The sequence below is a fragment of the Homo sapiens genome, chromosome 1, assembly GCF_000001405.40.
Source record: "Homo sapiens chromosome 1, GRCh38.p14 Primary Assembly".
Classification (NCBI taxonomy): Eukaryota; Metazoa; Chordata; class Mammalia; order Primates; family Hominidae; genus Homo; species Homo sapiens.
In genome coordinates this window covers 76,341,579-76,365,299 of record NC_000001.11, presented here as the reverse complement: position 1 = coordinate 76,365,299, position 23,721 = coordinate 76,341,579, and the positions used below count along the sequence as shown (strand labels likewise).

The following is a 23,721-nucleotide window of genomic DNA, read 5'->3' as shown; positions in this document are numbered from 1 at the left end:
TCCTTCTATATGTCCATGGGTACCCACTGTTTAGCTCCCACTTATAAGGAAGAATACACAGTATTTGATTTTCAGTTTCTGAACTATTTCACTTAGGATAATGGCCTCCAGCTCCATCCATGTTACTGCAAAGTACATGGTTTCATTTTTTGTCTATGGCTGCGTAGTATTCCATGGTATATATGTACCACATTTTCTTTATCCAATCCACTATTGATGAACACTTAGGTTGTTTTCATGACTTTGCTATTGTGAATGGTGCTGTGATAAATATATGAATGCAGGTGTTTTTTAAATATAATTTCTTTTCTTTTGGCTGTATACCCAATAGTGGGATTGCTGGGTCAAATGGTAGTGCTATTTTTAGTTCTTTGAGAAGTCTCCAAATTGCTTTCCATAGTGCCTGAACTAAGTTGCATTCCCACCAATAGTGTATAAGCATATCTTTTTATCTACATCTTCCAACATTTGTCATTTTCCGACTTTTTAACAGTCATTCTGACTGGTATGAAATGATATTTCATTGTGGTTTTAGTTTACATTTCTCTCATAATTAGTGATATTGAGCATTTTTTCATATGTTTCTTGGCCACTTGTATGTCTTCTTTTGAGAAATGTCTTTTCATGTCTTTTGCCTGCTTTTTAATGAGGTTTTTTTTTCTTGTTGAGTTCCTTGTAGATTCTAATAAGTTTGGAAAATATTGAATTTTGAAGAATTATTTTTTATTTTATTTATTTTATTTTATTTAGGTGGAGTCTCGCTCTGTCACCCAGGCTGGAGTGCAGTGCCACCATCTCGGCTCACTGCAACCTCCACCTCCTGGGTTCAAGTGACTCTTCTACCTCAGCCTCTCGAGTAGCTGGGATTACAGGCACCTGCCACCACACCCTGCTAACTTTTGTATTTTTTAAAGTAGAGATGGGGTTTTTGCCATGTTGGCCAGGCTAGTCTCAAACTCCTGACTTCAGGTGATCCACCCACCTCAGCCTCCCAAAGTGCTGGGATTATAGGCATGAGCCACCGCGCCTGACCAAGAGTTACTTTTTAAAAGGTATGAGTGTGTCTTAGTAATTCTCTTCAAAGCCTCCTTGGTCCTTCAGGAGATAAAGAGTCATTCACTTCCATTGCCTATTCACCAATCTGCCAAACAAATCTAATATCTGTTTTCAGAGTTTTATACGTTCCTTGTACTGACTTTCATAATATTATTCTGTCTAAAAATATTTGGTACCAGTTTTTATCAGAGAATAACAATCTACAATAAGAAGCTAAGGTGCTTTGGGTCTGTATTTCCAATAAATCTCATGTTGAATTGTAATCCCTAATGTGGGAGGTGGGGCTGGTGGGAGGTGACTGAATCATGAGGGAAGATTATCATGAATAGTTTAATGCCATCCCCCTTGGTATTTTCTTGAAAATGAGTGAGTTCTAAGGAGATCTGGTTGTTTAAAAGTGTGTAGCACCTCTCTCCTCTCTCTCTTCTTCCTGCTTCAGCCATGTGAAGTGCCAACTCCCCCTTTTTGCTTTCCGCCATGATTGTAAGGTTCCTGAGGCCTCCCCAGAAGCAGAGGAGATGCCAGCATCATGCTTCCTGCATAGCCTGTAGAACTGTGGATCAATTAAACCTATTTTCTTTATAAATTACCCAGTCTCGGGTATTACTTTATAGTAGCACAAGAACTGACTAATACATAAAATGAATACAGAATGGGGCATTGCTATAAAGATACCTGAATATGAAACAACTTTAGAGCTGGGTAATGGATAGAGATTGGAACAGTTGGAGGGCTCAGAAGAAGAAAGGAAGATGAGGGAATGTTTGGAACTTCCGATAGACTTGTTGAATGGTTTCAACAAAAGTGCTGATAGTGATGTGAACAATGAAGTCCAGGCCAAGAAGGTCTCAGATGGAAATGAGGAACTTATTGGGAACTGGAGTAAATGTCATTTTTGCAATGCCTTAGCAAAGAACCTGGCTGCATTGTGCCCCTGCTCCAGGGATCTGTGGAACTTTGAACATGAGAGTGATGATTTACAGTATCTAGTGGGAGAAATTTCTAAACAGCAAAGTGTACGATATGTGGCCCAGCTGTTAATAACAACCTATGCTCAAATGTGTGAGCAAAGAAATTACCTAAAACTGGAACTTATATTTAAAAGGGAAGCACAGCATAAAAGTTTAGAAAATTTGCAGCCTGTCCATGTGGTAGAAAAGAAAAGCCTGGATGTCTAGGAAGAAGCCTGTTGCAGGAGCAGATCCCTCATGGAGAACCTTTACCAGGGCAATGTGGAGGAGAGATGTGGAGTTGGAGCCCATGTTCAGAGTCCCTGCTGGGGCACTGCCTAGAGGAGCTGTGAGAAGACAGCCACTGTCCTCCAGACCCCAGAATGGTAGATCTACTGACAGCTTGCACCCTGCACCTGGAAAAGCTGCAGGCACTCAGCACTGGCCCAAGAGAGCAGCCATGGGGGCTGAACCCTGCAAAGCCACATGGACAGAGCTGCCCAAGGCCTTGGGGGCCCACCCCTTGCATCAGTGTGTCCCAGATGTGAGACATGGAGTCAAAGGAGATTACTTTGAAGCTTTAAAATGTAATGACTGCCCTGTTGGGTTTAGGACTTGCCTGGGGCCTGTAGCCCTTTGTTTTGGCCAATTTATCCCTTTTGTAATGGGAGTATTTACCCAATGTCTATAACCCCATTGTATCTTGGAAGTAAGTAACTTGTTTTTGATTTCACAGGCTCATAGGCAGAAAGTATGAGCCTTGTCTCAGATGAGACTTTGGACTTCGGACTGTTGAGTTAATGCTGAAATGAGTTAAGACTTTGGGGGACTGTTGAGACAGGATGGTTGTATTTTTCAATGTGAAAAGGACATGAGATTTGGGAGGCCAGGGGTGGAATGATATGGTTTGGATCTACGTCCCTACCAAATCTCACATCGAACTGTAATCCCTCATATTGCAGATGGGGTCTGGTGGGAGGTAATTGCACCATGGGAGCAGTTTCTCCTGAATAGTTTAACACCATCCCCCTTGGTATTGTCTTGGTGATAATGAGTGAGTTGTCAAGAGATCCGGTTGTTTAAACATGTGTAGCACTTCCGCCTCTCTTCTTCCTGCTCTGGCCATGTGAAGTGCTGGATCCCCCTTTTTGTCTTCCATTATTATTGTAAAGTTCCTGGGGCCTTCTCAGAAGCAGAGCAGATGCCAGTGTCATGCTTCCTGTACAGCCTATGGAACCCAGAGCCAATTAAACCTCTTTTCTTTATAAATTACCCAGTCTCAGGTATCTTTCTTTCTCTCTTTTTTTTTTTTTTTTGATACAGAGTCTCACTCTGTTGCCCAGGCTGGAGTGCAGTGGCGTGATCTCAGCGCACTGCAACCTTCACCTCCTGGGTTCAAGTGATTCTCCTGCTTCAGCCTCCCGAGTAGCTGGGATTACAGTCGTGTGCCCCATGCCAGGCTAATTTTTGTATATTTAGTAGAGATGGGATTTCACCAAGTTGGACAGGCTGGTCTCAAACCCCTGACCTCAGGTGATCCACCTGCTTCAGCATCCCAAAGTGCTGGGATTACAGGCATAAGCCACCATGCCTGGGCCTCAGGTATTTCTTTATAGCAGTATGAGAATGTACTAATACAGAAGGCTTAAGTGACAAAGAGTTTTAAGTTTTCAAGTGTATAAAAATATTCTTCCTTCATCTTCATAGAGAGAAAATTTAAAATGGAACTGATACAGAAACTGTATATTTTCAAATACACTTAGTTAAAAAAGAAATTCACAATAGTCAAGAAGTGGAAGCAACCCACATGTTTATAGACAGATGAATGGTTAAACAAAATGTGGTATATATGTAAAATGGAATATTATATGGGAAATAGGAGGGAAATCAAGTCACATGCTACAACATGAATGATCCTTAAGAACATTATATAAAATGAAATAAGCCAGTCACCAAAAAAACCAGTACTGCATGGTTCCATGCAGTAGTGCAGCATCTAAAGTAGTCAATTTCATAAAAACAGAAAGGAGAATGGTAGTTACCAAGAGAGAAATGAGGGGACAGGGGAATGGGGAGTTGTTTAATGTGTATGGAGTTTTAGTTCTGCAAGATGAAAAAACTTCTGAAGATCTATTTTATAACAATGCAAATATGCTTCATACTACTGAACTGTACACTTAAGAATGGTTAAGATGCTAAATTTTACATTAATTTTTTATAACAATTAAAAAAAAAAGCAAAACCTAAGGTATGTTTCTGACTTATTTACATTTAATTCATCACTCATTTGGAGAGAAATCAGAGGTCCATGAAACCCTGGCCTTCACTCCTTTAATTAGCCTCTAGCTCTTTCTTCTTAGACACAAAATCTTCTATTTTGACAGGATTAAGTGAACAGGAATACATGAAAGGAAAGGTTTAAATTTTCCTTGAAATTGAGACTCTGACTCCCAGAAGGCCAACGAGGTTCTAAACTTGAAATGTGCACTTGACAATCACTATTAATAACTAAGATATACCTCCAGACAAATTCCCAAACCTACTTATTATGTATGAACATGAGCAATTATGCCTTTGCACAACACATACACAATATACTGCAGAGCATGCAATCAAATTAATGCATAATATAATCTAGCATGGATAATTGAGAACTGGAATATTGATTAGCTACCAGAAATATTTTATCTCAACACGTTGTATTTTTATTACTAAGCAAGAAAATAGACTGGCATATTTAGTATTAATATATTGCATAACATAGTTGGGGTAGAAAATATTTGAAATTGGGGCCTAAACTTTTTCATTCTCAACAAAGCAGCAGTTATTAACTGGTTAGGTATACAGCTTAGTGTTAGGCACCATATGCTGACAAAATTAACAAAGCTTGGTCTTTGCTGTGAGAAACCTTACCATCATATGAGGACTATCACAGGCCTCTATATAACCTGAATGTAAAGAGAACAACATGAGAGCTGTAAACAAAGAACCATGTGAATGAAAAAAAGAAGGATAAACAGGCTGAAGTTGTAGACTTATGGACATTTAGACCCTGCATGAAGTAATCAGAGACAGAAGTCTACCTCACAAGGGTAGGTTTTCTATTCCATTCTATTCCTGGGAGCTATGGTTGATTAAAAGCTCTTTCCCAGGTAGAATGAAAGTTTATCTTCCTTTAACATACAGTTATTCAGATAAATAATACATTAATTCTCCTTTGTAATCTATATGGTAGCTCTTATTAACTATTAGTTACCAATTTCTTTCTTTAAACATTCATCAAAGCGACTGTGGAAAAACCAAGTGTAGCTTAACTGGCATTTGGATATAAGAATCTGGAAGACTGAAGAGAAGTCTTAGCTAAAGATGTATGTTTGGGAGTCATCACTCAATAAATGGGATTTAAAATCCTCCATCATTTCTCAAGCCATTCTTCTCTCCACTCTGTAAGTCTAATCATTCACCTATCTTCATTGATTCTACTTGCAAATTAGTTCTCTAATCTTTTCCACAGCTGCTGTCATCTCTTATATTAGTAGCCTCAAATTGTCTCACCATATTCAGTTTTACCCACTTCCAAAACATTCTCTACACTGCAGCCAGAATTATCCTTACTATATCAGTTTTCTAGGGCTGCTGTAACAAAGTATTAGAAACTGAGTGGCTTAAATAACTGCATTCTATTGTCTCCCAGTTCTGGAATCTATAGTTTGAGATCAATGTGTTGGCAGAACTATGCTACCTCTGAAGGTACTAGGGAAGAATCTATTCCAGGCCTCTCTGCTAACTTCTGGTAGTTCCGTGATCTGTGGAAACATAACCCCAGTCTTCACATAGCATTCTTCCTGTGTGAATTTCTATCTTTCCGCATGATATTTTTAAAAATAAGGACACAAGTCTTATTGGTTTAGGGGCTCACTCTGCTACAGTATGACCTCATCTTACTAATCTTACTCATCCTACTACATCTTACATCTGCAATAACCTAATTTCCAAATAAGTTCACATCCTGAGGTAAAAGGATTGATACTTCAACATAAAAATTATGGAGGGACATAATTCAACCACTATATTTTTTAAATGTTAATAGGATCCTGTCATTTCCTCTTAAAATGGTTCCCCACTGTCTTCAGGATAATATCCAAAATGTCTTAACATGGTTTACTAAGTGCTTCATATTCTGGTCCCTAGGTCCTCTCTTGTTTCATGTCTTGCAGCTCTCCTTCTTCCTACCCTACTCTCAGAAATACTCAGCAATAAATGTAAAATTACAATTGCAATATGTATTTTAATAACCTGATGCCAGTACAGACTCTAATAGTGGATTTGATCTATTCAGGAAGATCAGAAGGTGCTTCTTCAAGGGAATGATGATTGATCTAAGAGGTAAAAGATCTAAATAGGTGGAAACAGAAGAGAAGAGCATCCCAGACAGAAGACGCAGTTTGTCCTCTATGTTTGAAGGATGAACCAAAGGAAGATAAGAGCAACATGGTATGAGATGAGGTTGGAGTGGCAGGGAGGTCCAGATGAAGCAGAGACCTGTGGGCCATATTCAGAGGAGTTTAGAGATGGCACAGAAGAATCCCGGAGACTCTTACCCAGGGAAATAAGGCAATAAAATCTGCATTTCAAAAAATCACCATGGTAACTGTAGAGGAGTGAAGAACAGAGTGGAGGAGGCAAATGTGGATGGGGGTAGCCTAGTTTTTGCAGAAATCTAGGTAAGCAAGGGACAATGGTGTCCTATATGAGGAAATGATCTATCTCTAAGTAGATTTTAGATACATTAGGAGGTAAAAACTAGAGGCTTGGAAATGGATTTTTTATAAGGAGTAAGGGAGAAGAAGCTGTCAAGGGTGACTTCCAGAATTTTGACTTAATACAGGGAAGGCTGCAAAGTCATTCATTAAAATTAGAAAGTGTGGAAAGGTTTCGTGAGTTCCATATGTACATGTTGGGTCCTCTGAAGCATTTTCAGAGAGATGTTGAGTTGGTAGTTGGAAGTTCTGACATCTTGCCTGGGTTGAATGTATGCTTTTGTGAATCTCCACCATGTAGGTTAAAATTGAAGCCACAAGCATCGATTAATCAGAACTGAGAATAGGGCATCTAAGACTGAGCTTAGATTCTAACATTTAAAGATTCGATAGGGGCAAAAAAGCCAGCAAAAGAGATGGAGAGATTCGAGACATACCCTATGCACTGAGGGGAGAAAATGGTTTTTTAAAAAAAGAAGTGGTGAGCACTGATGAATATAGCCAGAAGGTCAGTTAATAAAAATAATGAAAAAGGTGTAGTATGTTGGCAGGGAGGCAGGTAGGGGGCTGAATACTGAAAAAATTTGCCTATTATTACTTTTCTCTTCTCCAAGCTAAACATTCCCTGTCTTTGACTGATTAGGTATTTCATGACATTTTACCATTTCTAGGACCTTCATCTGGAGGCACTCCAGTGCAACAATATTTTTGAATTGCCATTGAAAAACTAGGCCATTGAAAATACCACTGAGCACTTTGTTATCATTCCCTCATCTGTGCTGAACACTGTGTGGGCCAAGGGGAAAGGATCAAAGAACAGCCGGACCAGATGGCTACCCTCAAAGAGCTTTAGTCTAACAGAAATGTTGAGGCACACACATATAGTAAATATAATACCAGATGCCAGAAAAGAGTTTGTTATTAACATTCTAAAGAGGAGGTGATGATTTCTGTCAAGCTTTCATACAAGAGGAAACATCTGATCTGAGTCCCACTGGAAGGATAGAATTTGGAACCTAAAAATGTGGTAGAAGATCTTCCATCCAAATAAAGACAACAAGGAAGGAAATTGGAAGACATGTGGAAGGATGTGAAGATGAGTGCTAGGAAATAAGGTTGGAAAACCAGCATGGTCTTTTGGAGGCCAAGGCGGGTTGATCACCTGGGGTCAGGAGTTTGAGACCAGCCTGGCCAACACGGCAAAACCCTGTCTCTACTAAAAATACAAAAAAGTAGCTGGGCATGGTGGTGTATGCCTGTAAATCCAGATACTTGGGAGGCTGAATTATGAGAATCACTTGAACCCAGGAGGCGGAGGTTGCAGTGAGTTGAGATTATGCCACTGCACTCCAGCCTGGGTAACAGAGTAAGACTCGGTCTCAAAAATGAAAAAAAAAAAAAAAGAAAAAGAAAAGAAAAAAGAAAACTAGCATTAAGCTATTTTCTGGAGAGCCATGAATATTAGGCTAAAGACTTTAGACTTTTTCATTTGACAGTAAGAATTCACTAAATATTATTCTTGATTTTGATTTGAGTCTTACTGTGGCCCCTGGAATTTCTTCTTGCGTACCTTGGGTTACCTATTGTGGACATGCCTCTTTGAATCAACTTTAGCACTTTCTCCTAAGCACAATTCTTATGTTTAGACCGCAATACGGTTTTGCTGAAAGTGCTGACCTGGGAAGGGAATGGCTCAAAGAGAGGGAGAACAGCTTGGTGGCTATTATAATAGTTCTCATTGCGTTATGCTCAGGCACCGAAGATCCCTGTGCATTATCTATGTATCCTAGGTATCAGGACTGGGGGATTCAGGACACTAGCTGACATAATTAGAATGCTTTTTGATGTATTCTCTTTGTTTATGATGCCTGTTTAAGTTTTAGTTAACTTTCATTATCATCCCTACCACCTGATTTAACTCTAACCCTTCCCTGTCCACCCTAGGTCTCACTGCAGCCTTTCATCCCTTTACTTTTCCTCATAACAACATTAACAAATCCAACATCCTATAATTTACTTACTAGTGTTATTTTTGTCCCTTTCTCCCCTGTTCCTGCACTGGCATGTAAATTCTATTAGGCTTTTTTTTTTTTTTTTTTAACCCTACTGTTCATTGCTATATCACCAGAGTCTAGATCGGGGGTTGGCATGCGGCAAGGAGTCAGTGTTATTAAATAAATTACTTAATTTGTTTTGGCCTTTATATTTGGATCCGATCAAAAGCATTCAAAATGAATTGCCTGCTTCTTTGAAGACAACAGGCAACATCATGAGTCCAGTACACAAAGGCAATGGAGGATGGATTCAAGAAATATCCAGGAGATACAATCCAAATAATTTGACAATTCAATAAATGTTTGGAAAGGGGAGAGAGGAAAATCAAAGATGATTCAAGTTTTCAGAATGAGTGAGTAGAGAAAATAGGAGCTACTGGCAAGAACGGAACCAGAATATTAGCCAAGAAGGAGGTTTGGGACATTATAGTTAATGTAATGTTTTAGAACCTGATCAACACTATAATTATTATTGCCTATAAAATATCACTTTGCTCCATAATATATTATTTTGAAAAAAAATGGAGAAACTTGATAAACCTTTGCATTCCAAATAGCCTTTTTTAAGCCAACAGTGTACACATATGAGACAATACCATCTGGGAAAGCGAGACAGAGACAGGCAGAAAAAAGAAACTCTGACTTTGATAGATTAAACCCTTGACTTGATAAATGGTTCATGCAGATCAGCAATGGAAAGGCCTATGTGCCAACACAAAGAGCCAAAAATAATCTTGTAGTTTAAAGGAGTGAATGAATGATACAGCACTCTGAGTTTGGAAAAGCCTCAGCTGTGATCATGAAATATGTATTAAAAGCATTGGCTCTATCGGTGATAGATACCTAAAGTTTCCTCTCGGGCTATGGTGGAAGTTATTTTTTTCTGATACAGAGTGGGCCAAATTCACATTACAGATGCTACTTTTTATAATTGTTCCAGCATAAATTGTTTCAACTCAAGCAAAATCCAAAATGCACATTTTCTTCGTTGGTAGAGAAGGTGGCAGTCTATAAAAGGAAATGAGCCAGCAGATTTATCCTCTTTATCACAAAGGGAAGTCACAATGCACATCTCAAAGCAGAAGAGAAAAGATAGTATATCAGAAAAAGAACTGAAAGGAAATACACTAAAATGGAAATTGTCTTTGGTAGGAATATACATAATTTCTATTTTCTTTCTTTACAATGAACATAGATTATTCTCCAATTAGAAAAATAAATAAAATGTTTTCTTTAAAAGACTGCTCATTGGCCCAAAGCTGCTTAGTAATAAGCTTGTGGGTCATTTTCAAGAAATTCTGACCGCATGGCATCTCCACTGAGAAAAAAAATTAATCCATTGTGAGGGAGTGAATTTTTTACTTCATCCCAAATCATTTTCAGTCTAAGCAAAAAGGAACCTACATGATTGTTCTGGAAACAACCAAAAGATAGGCAATTCTTAACATCCAGATAAGATGCTAAGGACTTAAATTCTGTTTCAGTCAATAAAGTCAACCTCTGCATCCAAAAATAATTTCAAATAATTTAGCAATTTTTACCCCTTACATTTTCCCCTCTTATTTCAATAAAAGCTTACCAAAACAGTCTAGTTTCATTTTGCTTTACTTTGTTTTAAGTGACCATAATAGAAAAGAAAAGCCTCGGAATGGTTAAATAACCAACCTGACAGCTGAATGTAGATAAACGTGGAATTGTCAATACTGAATACATCCCCCCAAACCAACACTCTTAGAAGTTCTGAGGAAATACTGGCAAAGCATAACTAATCATCTGAAAAGAAATAAAAACTTCTCTCCTATATACTAATCTACACAGGCACACACTTCACCAAATTCCATAAAAGTTCACATACATAAAACCTGATGGATTACTTCACTTTAAAGCCAACCAACCAACCCATCAGTCAACAAAAACTTCTAAATACAGCAAACCTTCAGCATTTAAGAATTTCACATTCATCATTTGACTCCATGAGAATTAAGCCAAAAATCTATTACATAAAATATACACACAAATACCTACTGTGGGACAGGAGCTGTTCCAGGTACTGAGAACATGTGCATTGTGAATGAAGAAACAGGTCTCTTTTTTCACGGAACTGACATGATAGCGCTGGGAGGACAACAGAAAAGAAGGAGCTATACCAAATACTAAGATAACCCTAAGAAGGCTGAATAGGATAGGTGGTGCCTAACCACAGAGACAGGACTGTCGCAGCCACAGGGCCCAGCCTGGAGCTGGCACAACTGTGCGCCCTGAAACATTGAACTGGGTTGGTCCTCACTGGGGCTGCTATGATAGAATCATAGCAGCAGGAGCAGTGGTAGCAACAGCAGCAGCAGGAGCAGCGTGACTACTAGAAAGAGAAGGAGAGTGGATGCTTGGGGACCCACGATTTCAGCAGTAACTTTGCAGCCATGGCACCTGTCATGGTGGGAGATGCTATCCTGGCATTAGTGGTGTTTGAAAGGGAGCCTGGGAACAAGGTGGACCTGACAGAACTATGCCAGGGAAAGAAGGGTGTGCTGTTTAGAATCCCTGGGGCTTTCACCCCAACTGTCAAAGACCCACCTGCTTGGGTTTGGGGAGTAGGCTGGGGTTCTGAAGGTAAAGGGGGGCCAGATCCATGTTTAAGTGCCACTGTCTTTGTGTCTTTGTGACTGGTGAGTGGGGACAGGCCACAGTGCAGAAGGCCAAGGCCAGCTCATGGGTGGCAGCCCTGGGGCCTCTGGGAAGGAGACTGATTTGTTACTAGATGATTTGCTGTTGCCACTCTTTGAGGATGAGAGCTTGAGAGGTTCTTCCTGGTGATAGAGGATGGTGTGGTGAAGGCCTTGCATGAACCTGACCATACAGGCCTCACCTGCAGCCTGGTCCCCAGTTCTATCTCACAGCTCTGAGGCCCAGATCCCTTCACTGTTTCCTGTCTCAGGTGCCCAGCCCTGGGCAAGGGGCCCCAGTCTAACCTCAGCTGGAGTCACTCAATTGGAACCTTGGCCAAATTTCTGCAATAAACACTCCAGTTCAAAACAAACGAACAATGATTTGACAAAAAAAAAAGTTGGGCAGGGCAACTCAATAATCATTGGTAGAAAGGAGCTGACATTAGTTATGGTGCCAGGTTGGAAGCCTCTCTGAAGGGGTGGCAACTGAGCTGAGACTGCTCAGACAAGAATGGCCAGCCACAGAAACGCGTGGGCCCGAAGAACGTACAGGGAGAGGAAACAGCAAGCAAGCCCATGACAGAAACTGGTTAGGCATGTTAAGGGAATAGAAGGCCAGGGTGGCTGGAGAGGAGATGGGAGCATGGTTCTTTATTGGCCATGATACAGAGTTCAGTGTTTATTCTGACTGCAGTGAAAGCCCAATAAAGAATTTAAGAAGGGGAGTGGAGTAATTCTAGTTGTATATTTAAGAGATCTCTTTGGAGAATGGATGATGAGGGTGAGGGCTGGAAGATGAGAGTGGAAGCAGGAGACCAGTGGAGAATGTAGGTGACAGCAGATGGTGTCTTGGATTAGAGTAACAAGGAAAATCAAGAGAAGTGGACAGGTTTGGTGATATAACCAGCTGGCATGATGGCAGATGGAATGTGGAGGAAGGCAGACAGAGAAATGTCTAGAATGCATCTTAGGTTTTTGACTTAAGAAACTGAGTGAATGGCAATACCATTTATAGGAACGAGGAGGAATGTAGAACAGATGTGAAGAAAAAAATTCAGTTTTGAGCCTGTACCTAATTCTGATAATTATTATACATCCACATGGAAATATCAAGCAGGTAATGGAATATACAAGTCAGAGGCTCATGGTACGAGTCAGGGCTGGAGGTATAAAGTTATACAGAAGGAGTTAAAGCAATGTAATTAGATTAGGTCATTCAGGAATAAAATGCAGATAGAGAAGAAAAAGAGCTCAAGCTCTTTAGCACTCCAGCAATTAGAGATTGGCCGGAGGTAAAAAAAAAAAAAAAAAAAAAAGGAAACCAAAAAGTTTGAAAATAACCAGTGAGACAGAGGGAAAGCAGGAGGGACAGGCACAGTTCTGAATGCCTTACTATCTTATTTCATTTAATCCTATGAGCCCAATAATATTCTCAATAAAAAAAAAAAAGGAGGAAATAGTCAAGTTGGACAGACGGTATTGAAAAGCAGAGTCAGCCAAAAACACAGAACAATGTGTTGACAATGTTGACCACTGATGATGTCAACAAGGGTATTTCAGTGTTGAAACAATAACTTATTGTTTAAACAGAAACTATATTTACTTACAAATTAGAAAACACCAAATGACTATTAAGGAGAAAAATAAAATGAACTAATCAATGGTGGTATTCAAACAGCATTATAACATTTTTCTCAACCTTTTCTTTTTTCATTATTGTCCCTCTAAGGAGCCTGGTTAAGACAATTTTATCCTACTTATACCCCCTCCCACATGAAATTTGATACTGCAGTTAAACTCGTTATCTACTTAGGTACTATGGCCCTTCGGATGGCCACAAACATTTATAATATCAAAAGCCTTTTGACCTTCCCCCACCCCAACCTCCTCAACATGAATTTTCACATCCCAGGGGATGAGACAATATCTGTAATTATAATTATGCATTGTAATTATAGCCTGCTATTGTATTGAGAGGAAAATGTATGTTTCACTTATCATTAGAGTGGCCACATAATTTATTACCCAACTGATGTATTTTGGGGAGGAAAGAGAGTACTACTAATAATTACGTTGGGATAGAAGGCATATACCAGAATATGCCAGGCAACTGGGATATATGATTATCCTACTTCTCATAAACTCTGAAAAAATTTTAATTATAAGAATAAATTTGGCAATATTTTAATTCTAAAGTGGACAAATAAATTCAACAGCTAGGCTGTCAGAAAAACGAACAAAATGGGCAAACATGGAGACTCTAACAAAGACAAAAAAAGAAAGCACAAAACAAGTTAGAAGTTATAAAAAAAAGTTATAGTAGTTTTAAAGTATATCACAGATCTCCATATAGTCTTTATACTAAAAAAATTGAAAATTTAGATAAAAAGAGAATTTTCTGGGAATGTGCAAGTGTTTAAAACTGACTCAGGAAGGAGTTTAAAACAATATAGATAATTATGAAAATGTTTGAAAATGTTATAAATGAAATATTTCCAAAAGGATATTTAGGCCCACACATTTCTTTGAAAAACGTTCTTTGAAATCTTCAAAAAATGACTATGCTACATAATTTGTTCCCAGGCTGAACAAAAAGATAGAAAGTTATTCATTTTATAAAACCAGCATAAGCCTAATGCCAAACTTGACAAAGCTAATACACAAAAAAGAAAAATGTAGCCGAATCTTTGTATGAATGGAGACACGCACACTCAAAAGAAATTCTAGTAAATTAATCTCTCAGTGAAAGCTGATTAGTATGTAAGATCTGGGACAAAATCTGGCTTACTTCTTAACACTAAGTTACACTCTGAACTTTTGTACTTAGTTAAACACTTTTCTTAGTCACATAAGCAAGGAGTTAGAGAAGAATGTGATGCTGCAAATCCTAGAATTATAAAAGTAAAAAATGTGTCAGAAAATTGAGATGTGGTGTTGAAAATAATATGATCATATATCAGAATTATAATGCTTAGGAAAGCTTCAGGAACCTAGTATTTGTTTCACCACTGTCAGCCCATATATTAGTGTAAGTACTAAAAGACATTACAGTACTAATATTACATGTCTTAGATGAGATAAAATAATACTTTTAATCCATTATTGTAATTTTAATCTATGTCACAGAGTTGATATAACACAAGGCTTATCTATGAAGCCAGAAAATGTGTTTATTTTCAACTTGTCTTAGTTTAAAAATCTAAGACATGATTCACACATTTACCCATCTTATTGATGATTCTTTTATTAGACTATTAATTGCACTTGAACTGAAGAAATCGGATTCAAACTAATGTTTTTAAAATGTGTCATTCAAAAGACATTTTCATGTTCTTTTTCTTAATATTATTAACTGTCAGTAGTTATTCCTTTAAAAATTAAAGCTTAAATATTTCTTTTTGAACCCAATGCTTAGTAAATCTTGTGAGGGAGATAAAAGCATGATAAAGTTTACCTATTTAAAACTTGTTTGAAAATTTGGATTTTGTGCTAGGGACAGTGATGTGCGCCTGTCATCTTAGCTACTCAGGAGGCTCAGAAGGAAAGATCACTCAAGCCCAGGAGTTCAAGACCAGCCTGGGCAACATAGGGAGACCCCGTTGCTTTAAAAAATAAAAATCAAAAATAACCTTTTTAAAATCTGGATTTTGAAATGAGCTAGGTTTTCTCTTGAAATTTTTATGTTGAAAAAAAACCAACAGAAATGTTACATGAATAATGCATTTGAGTGAATAATTTCTAATACACAGTCAATTTTCAAATTTTTCTAAGCGACATTATAAAATAAATCTTGTATACCATTTTTCAACTTTTATAGTCAAGCTATCTATATATAAAACTTAGAAACTTTAAATACATCTATAGAATAGAACACTAGCAACCTTGACAATGAAAAAGGGGAGAAAAGCATAGGGGAGCAAATACCCTCATCTTGCTGGACAGACAAGAGACACTGCCTCAAGGTGATGCAAAGAGATCTAAGTTTGTTATTTAAACCTAGAAAGAGAAACAACAGAAGAACCAAAATGCTAACATAATGATCCAACTTTGGGAAGGAGAGGAGCAGATAGAAAGAAGCATGAGATAAATCCTCCTTTTTTATAGAGAGGAGTCAATAAATAATGTCTGAAGTTGATAAATCAAAGAATAGTAAAATAAGAAAATATATCAGGATGGTTCTATCTTGAAATATTAATCTAGCTGTTTTCTGCGCATTTCCCTCCAAATCTTTTGGGTCATTTTCCTCTTGCCATACCACCCCCAGTCCTTACCAAGGGGGAAAACAAAAATTCAAAAAGCCAGACTAAGAGGCTTTCAGGGTGTTTTTTCTTGGAAAGCCCAGAACACAGAGAAACATGTAAGAAAAGCAAGAGGCAACAAGAAGAGAGAAGAAATTCTGAAGGGATGAAAAGGATATTGCCTTCCACACAGGTCTGGAAAGCAGTGCATGCAAAAAGGACTTAGAAGATGAGCTGTCCTCCAGAGTGGTCTCCTCCACGCCAATTTATTCCCCTAGACAACAAGTCTGGTGTTCAACAGTCATGGACACTTTTAAGAATCTCATTAGAAAAGTGATAAGAGGGAACTCTACCCCTGGCCAAGGTGAACCTAGGCTGAACAAGCAGAGAATTTCCCTATGAGAGTCTAGGGGAGGATACACACCACTGGTACTTGCATTATTTAATGTTACATATGTAAATATCAGAAGAACTGATTTTTTTAAAATTAAGGCTCTGGAGAATATGATTGGGAGAAAACAGAAGCAGCATGGGGAATTGCTGCTTTTTATTTCAACTCTTCTGCACTATTAGATTCTTTACTATGTACATTTATTACTTTTGTAAAATTTTAAACAGAAGATTAAAACTAATGGTTTTCATTACTGAGTATGTACTATGAGCCAGGCACTCTGCTACGTGCATGAAGTATGTTCTCTCACTTAGTCAAAAAAGTTAAGTATTGTATATGTAAATACATAACCAGAGTGGCTGGCACATTGTTAGACGCTCAACATTGATTTAATGAATGAATTACTAAATGAATGCACAATGCATATATATATATATAGGCATGCATGCATGAATGAATAAATGTTGTATGAAAAGCTTCAGGAGGTTTTGGAACTGCAATCTTCACCAACCCCTTCCCTACATATATGATCGTTCTGTCTGGGTTGCATAAAATTGGCATCAGCATTTTCAAAGTTCTTGGTTTTCAGGAAAGAAAAAAAGTTGGAAAATCTATCATACAATGAAAATTTCAATTTCTGTAGCCTTGCTCTGTCTTGGAAGTTCTCAGTCTCCAGTGGTTTGGATGATAGGAGGTTCATCCTGGCATGGAAAACCTTAAATTAGAGTGAATAAATGGGAAGTTGGCATAGCACTTCAGAAAGGTTGCCAACCTCTGCTCAGCTGCCTTTTCCACATCAATTCTCATGTGCAAAGGAAATCAGAATGTACAAGTTACTGGGAAAGATACTTACACATTCGGAAATATACAAAAATCACAGGTGATCTCTGACACTAAATTAGACAGGGTCAGAAAGTGCACAAGTCAATAAAACAGACTAGACCAGTCACTACTAAACAATAAGTTATCTCTGTACCATAGTGTAGAAAGTTAGAAAATAAACAGTAGAGGCCATTTTTCAGTTGTATTCTGTGTAGGCTATTTTAATTTGTAGGGCTCTCTAAGAGTTAAACACCTTTCATGGTAAACACTTGCTTTCAGAACTTCTAGTTGGTAGGCTTCTACGAAAAACAGTTGTCGTATTATGCAATTACTACCGGAGTTTGCTGAGGAAGTATTAAAATCAAACATTCACAATAGAATTGCAAAGTTTCATTTTCTTTATTAAGTTCCAAAATGAAGATCAATCATAAATCATAATAACCAATACTTATTAAACACCATGGACCAGGCACCATGCTAAGCACTTTTATATACATTATTGCATTTACTCCTCAAAATATTCTCTGAGATAAGAGGTATTCATATGGCCTCATTTTGTTGGTAGGTTAAGCAACTTTCCAAGATCATAGAGCTAATTAGTGATAGATAGAGCAAGAGCTTGAACCCAGGAAGTTTGACTCCAGAGCCACTGATCTTAAACACTATGTTATACCTTTCTGATATTTAGTAAGCAAAAGTACAGTAAAACTTATAAGGAGTCAATATCATCAGGAGTAGCAGCACAGAAACTAGGTATCTGATAGGGTTTGCCAAGATTAAATAGCTTAGATACCATCAATTGCTTTCTAGGAGTACATCTATATTATGTAAGTATTGTATTGTATTTTGGTATATATATATATAAACTTATTCTCATACAAATACATAGGGGGATGTATCAAAGATATATTAAAATCATTAATAAAGGAACCAACAAAATAATAAAGTGGATTCAAGGAGAATGCAAGAAACTGAGATAGGTAAGTAGGTAAGTAAGTGGGTGGGTGGATGAATGGATGGATGGGGAAAAGACTGCTGGAATAACGTTTTTAAGTCATATATCCAAAACTGCTTAATAGTCTAAAGGGCAATAAAATCCTAACATTTTATTCTCTACTGTTTTATTCTCTATTGTTAGAAATCATTTGCCTCTCTATTGGACAGCAGTGATTTGCATCTTATTAATTTTCTACATGCTAACATCAACTTTGCAGAGGCTAGACTGTAATCAGTGGTAATTTTAAGCCAAACAAAATTACATTGTCTGACAGAGTGAGATGACCCTTAGGACGGCTCATTAGACAATGCTGTGGCATGACAGTGAAAGGATATGCAGTAAGCTCTTTTTTTGTTCTATTTCCAAATGTAGATGTTCATTCTTAACAGAAAATAATAATGTATTAACAGATACAATTTCAACTAAAACTTTCTCTACGTCTATATACTAAGTAAACGTCATAATAATTATAATAATAGTAATTTATTTAGTGTTTATTGAATATTTACATGAGCCAGGGACTATGCTAAGAACAGTGTATACATTCCCTTATTTAATTTTTAAGTCAACTCTAAGGGTAGGCATTATTTCCATTTATCCAGCCCCATTTCATGTAGAAGGAACTGGGTGCTCAGGAGCATTATGTAACTTGGCCAAGGTCTCAAAACTAAGTAGTGGCACCGTAGGAATTGGAAGCCACATCTATCTCACAAAACGTATGTCCTTAACCACCACACACCATACCCCACTGCCTCTGTAGCTGTGCATTGCAGCCAAAGTAAATCGTACAGGTCAAGCTTTAGCCATGTGCATTTGTACCAACCTTGCCTTATAAGTCTATGTTTTGCTTTACGCAGTTATATCTGCCTTATAGTCCTGTCTTGCTTTACACAATTACATCTGCATTGATCTTGACTGAGCACAGAAAGGCATCTCCTGAAATGCCAACCTACCCTTTCGGACAGGTGTCCTAACAGTGTGGAAAGCCGTTGGGGAATCCTCTAGCACAGTGGTTGAAAGCATGGGCCTTGGACATGGACACAGCTCTGTTGGAAACCTGGCTTCACCACCTCCTGTCTGTGACCTTGGAAAATTTACTTACCTGGTGTGAGCTTACTTTTTCCCCTCTACTACGGAAGGAAAAACAGTATCCACCTTCGAGGCGTAAGTGCCGACGATGTATGAATCAAGAAGAAAGCTGACATAATCCCTGTACTCATAATCTGGAGGCAAAAGACAAACAATTGACATAAAATAACATTATACCCCTGGTGGTGATAAGTAGTATGGAGAAAATTAAAGCAAAGTGGGGGAGTAGCTAGCAGGAGGAAGAGATGGTAGTGGGGGCTGACATTTTATAGGGGGTGGCCATGGGAGACTTTTGCTTAAGAAGCAAAGGAAGAAGTCCCCCACAGGATGTAAGGGAGAGAGTCAGGAGGACATCTAAGAGAAGACTCTTCCAGGCAAAACAATAGCCAGTGCAAAGGCCCTGAGGAAGGACAATTGGTTTGATCAAAAATAGCAAGGAGACCAGTGTGTGTGGAATGGAGGGAGCAAGAGAGAGAGTGGGAGGGGCATACTGTCTGAGCTGGGGCTGAGGAACGGGTCCTACTTGGAAGAAAGGGTGGGGAGCAGATCCCCATCCTTTTACTCAGAGTAAGATGAGAGGTGACTGAAGAATTTTGAGCATAGGATGACAAAATTTGCCTTCAATCAAAAGGATCATGGAGGAGAAAACATATGCAAAGCTCTTAGCATACTGTTTACTAAACTTTATTGTGTTATTATTTTTATCATTAGAAATACTATTTCAAGGTAGAGCTGCTATACTGTGGTAGGGTTTTGATAGACCTTGCTGTGAACATCTTTTCAGTGGGTAAAAGCTATGCCACCATCTAACAGGCTGTTTACCCACTGCTTCTCTTCTCTCTTGTTCTTTTATTCATTCTCTTTTCTCCTGTCTTCTCTTCTCTTACCCCTTACTCTCTACTCTGTGCTCTCCCTGTGCCTCTGTCTTCTCTTCTGCAGCCTTGATTTCTCTTTTCTTCCTTACTATTCCATTGTTCTGCTTTCTATGAGTAAAAGGAATTCAAAAAGATTCTTTTTGAAGTTAGTCAACAGCTTTAAAATGGGAAAGGTAAAGAGGCAAATGAAGACAGTGTCTCCTCATCACTGTCCGGGGGAGAAGGAGCCTGATCCCACAAGCAGGGTGATGGTGTACCTGCTTGCTGCACCCACACATGGTAAGGAGCTGGCCTCATGGTGACAAAGAGGCAATCAGCTAGGGGATCAACATGAATTGGTTACAGATTAATCAGATGTCCCTTGTAAGCCACAGCCAAGGAACCTGAGGGTCTGCGAAGACAGGTAGGACTTGATGGGGCATGAGGAAATGATAGAGCTAGCTGTAGTGTGTGCAGAGGAAGGCTGGGCAAAGGCACTGAGAGATACTTGGTTGGGGGGCGCCAACAGGGCAGTAGAGAAACATTAGACATCACCTTCTCCTACCTCATAACGTTTCACAGCTCCCACCTCACTGAGTGTGCTTAGGAAAAAAGAGACAGGGAAGTACCCAAGAATGATATTTACTCAGCCTTTACTATACACCAGCATGGAACTCACTTTAGTGTATATTTTTCTCATTCAAATCTAACAACCTTGGAAAGTATAGCATATTCTTCCAGACCTGGCAGTTTTCAAAATTCCATATCTCCCTCTCCAGGGGCAAAAAGAAATAGCTTAGTATAGCAGGAATCATATTCATTGAGTATCTACTATGTGCCGGTTACTCTTCTAAGCAGTAGAGACAGCCATCATGAACAAAATGGATGAAACAAGTTCCTTATAGAGTTTACATTCTAGTGGTGGAGACAGACATTAAACCAGGCAAATTAGTAAATGAAAAAGTATGTCATATATTTATAATACCTGGGGAGAAAAAAATAATGCAGGGAAAAAGAATATGAAATGTGGTCAGGAGGGTGGGGGACCAGGAAATGTCGCTTTAGAAGAATAAGAGTAAAAGCGTTTCTTTAGATCATGTGACTAGGTAAGTCAAAATCTCCTTTTGTAAACACAGGCTTTCATGTCTTCCCAGAAGAGCCAGAGTAAAAATTGTTTCTGTTTCTGACCTATAACAATGTACTTGGCTCCCTCTCATCATTCAGCTCTCAGATTAAATCTCAGCAAGGCCATTCCTGGGTACTCACCCTTTACCTGTCAGTCATAACTCTAGCAGAATATCATGTTTGTTTCTTTCATAACACCTTTGACAATTTGTAACTCAACTGCATATTTGTTCATTTGCATATTTGTCTATGCTGCCATTTATATTATGAATTCCAGGAGCCCAGAATAGGGCCTTGCCCTACTTGCCCCTTGTCCAATCCTTTGCTCAATGCCTGACATCTAGTGGATACCACAACTCTTTGATGAATACATGAATATATATTCCACTTGAAGCAATTCTCATAGGTTGCCATAATTCCTCTGTTAAAACTTTTTTTTATAATTCTTTTTCACTAGCATGTTTATCATATAATGGAAGGGAATCCTGCTATTCTGTGGCATTAACATGCTATCAAGTCTTATGAAAATAAAAGACAAAGAATATCAAAGCATTTTGAAGCTAGAAGGACTTGTTTTGTCTTCACTTTACCTTTGTACTCTGTAGGGTTTTGCTTCAGATGTTGAGGAGAAGAAAGAAGTAGCGATATAGGAATTTCTTCTGACCTTGGGGACAGAGGAAGCTGCCTGCACATCAGCATTTGACAGACCATGGTTCCAAAGGGTTTTTCTAGTTGTTCATCCTGGCAGCATGCCTGGTTTATTTCTGCCCTAGACTACTTTTCCATGCTTTCTAGGATACAGACTCAGCTCCCACAGAACTCAGAGTATACACTGATCCGACGGTCTTTTCATTTTCGTTTCTCCTGATAGGGAGCTACCTATCTTGCCAAGCCTTCCTTTCTTTTCCTCTTATATTCCTGAACTGACATAAAAGTTCAGGTTATACAAAAGATGTTCTGTTACTGAAAGAGTTGCTAAAGATGTCTATTTTCCTTTTGTTACTATGAGTCTAAAAAAACAAAGTTTACTCAGACAATAACATGTACACATTAATATTTCAGTTCTGCAAAATGTAGGCATTTATTTTATCAAAAAAATAGAGAACAACTAGAAGAAAACCTAATAAATACTCTGCTAGACATTGGACTAGGCAAATAAGTTATGATGAAGATCCCCAAAGCAAATGCAACAAAATTAAAAATAGACAAACGGGACTGAATTAAACGGACGGGCTTCTGCACAGCAAAAGAAAAGATCAACAGAGTAAACAGACGACCTACAAAATGAGAGAAAATATTTACATCTATGCATCTGACAAAGGGCTAATATCCAGAATCTATAAGATTAACTTAAGTCAACAAGAAAAAAACCACAAATAACCCCATTAAAAAGTGGGCAAAGAAACTGAACAGACACTTCTCAAAACAAGACATACAAGTGGCCAACAAATATATGAAAAAAGCTCAACATTGCTAATCATCAGAGATGCAAATCAAAACTACAATGAGACACCATCTCATACCAATCAGAATGGCTACTATAAAAAATTAAAAAAAACAGATATTAGTGAGGTTGCAGAGAAAAGGGAAAGCTTATACACTGTTGGTGGGAATGCAAATCAGTTCAGTCACTGTGAACAGGCAACCTACAGAATGGGAGAAAATTTCTGCAATCTATCCATCTGACAAAGGGCTAATATCCAGAATCTACAAGAAACTTAAACAAATTTACAAGAAAAAAAAAACATCAAAAAGTGGGCAAAGGATATGAACAGACACTTCTCAAAAGAAGACATTTATGCAGCCAACAAACATATGAAAAAAAAGCTCATGATCACTGGTCATTAAGAGAAATGCAAATCAAAACCACAATGAGATACCATCTCATGCCGTTAGAATGGCGATCATTAAAAAGTCAGGAAACAACAGATGCTGGAGAGGATGTGGAGAAATACGAATGCTTTTACACTGTTGGTGGGAGTGTAAATTAGTTCAACCATTGTGGAAGACAGTTTGGTGATTCCTCAAGAATCTAGAACCAGAAATACCATTTTACCCAGCAATCCCATTACTGGTTATATTACCAAAGGATTATACATTATTCTACTATAAAGACACATACACACGTATGTTTATTGCAGCACTATTCACAATAGCAAAGACCTGGAACCAACCCAAACGCTCATCAATGATAGACTGGATAAAGAAAATGTGGCACATATACTCCATGGAATACTATGCAGCCATTAAAAAGGATGAGTTCATGTCCTCTGCAGGGACATGGATAAAGCTGGAAACCATCATTCTCAGCAAACTAACACAGGAACGGAAAACCAAACACCACATGTTCTCACTCATAAATGGGAGTTGAACAATGAGAACACATGGACACAGGGAGGGGAACATCACACACTAGGGCCTGTTAGGAAGCAGGGGGATAGGGGAGGGATACTATTAGGAGAAACACCTAATGTAGGTGACAGGTTGATGGGTGCAGCAAACCATCATGGCCCATGTATACCTATGTAACAAACCTGCACATTCTGTACAAGTATCCCAGAACTTAAAGTATAATTAAAAGAAAGAAAGAAGGAAAGAAAGAAAGAAAGAAAGAAGGAAAGAAAGAAAGAAAGAAAGAAAGAAAGAAAGAAAGAAAGAAAGAAAGAAAGAAAGAAAGAAAGAAAGAAAGAAAAGCAGTTTGGAGATTTCTGAAAGAACT

At 38.3% G+C, this 23,721-nt stretch overlaps 1 protein-coding gene and 1 pseudogene across 15 annotated transcripts in view, besides 1 other annotated feature; one reads left to right on the top strand and one right to left on the bottom strand.

Annotated features, from left to right (window-relative positions):
• Positions 1-23,721, bottom strand: part of ST6GALNAC3 (ST6 N-acetylgalactosaminide alpha-2,6-sialyltransferase 3) — a 562,594-nt gene that overhangs the window by 272,040 nt on the left and 266,833 nt on the right. The gene's annotated exons all lie outside the window — the stretch shown is intronic.
• Positions 2,445-2,945: an enhancer, noted in NCBI's record as "H3K27ac hESC enhancer chr1:76828040-76828540 (GRCh37/hg19 assembly coordinates)". NCBI's record gives its function as "activates a minimal SCP1, AML or CMV promoter by ChIP-STARR-seq in primed H9 embryonic stem cells {active_cell/tissue: H9 hESC(primed)}" and the evidence as "EXISTENCE:reporter gene assay evidence [ECO:0000049][PMID:30033119]".
• Positions 11,061-11,720, top strand: LOC100418965 (peroxiredoxin 5 pseudogene; annotated as a pseudogene).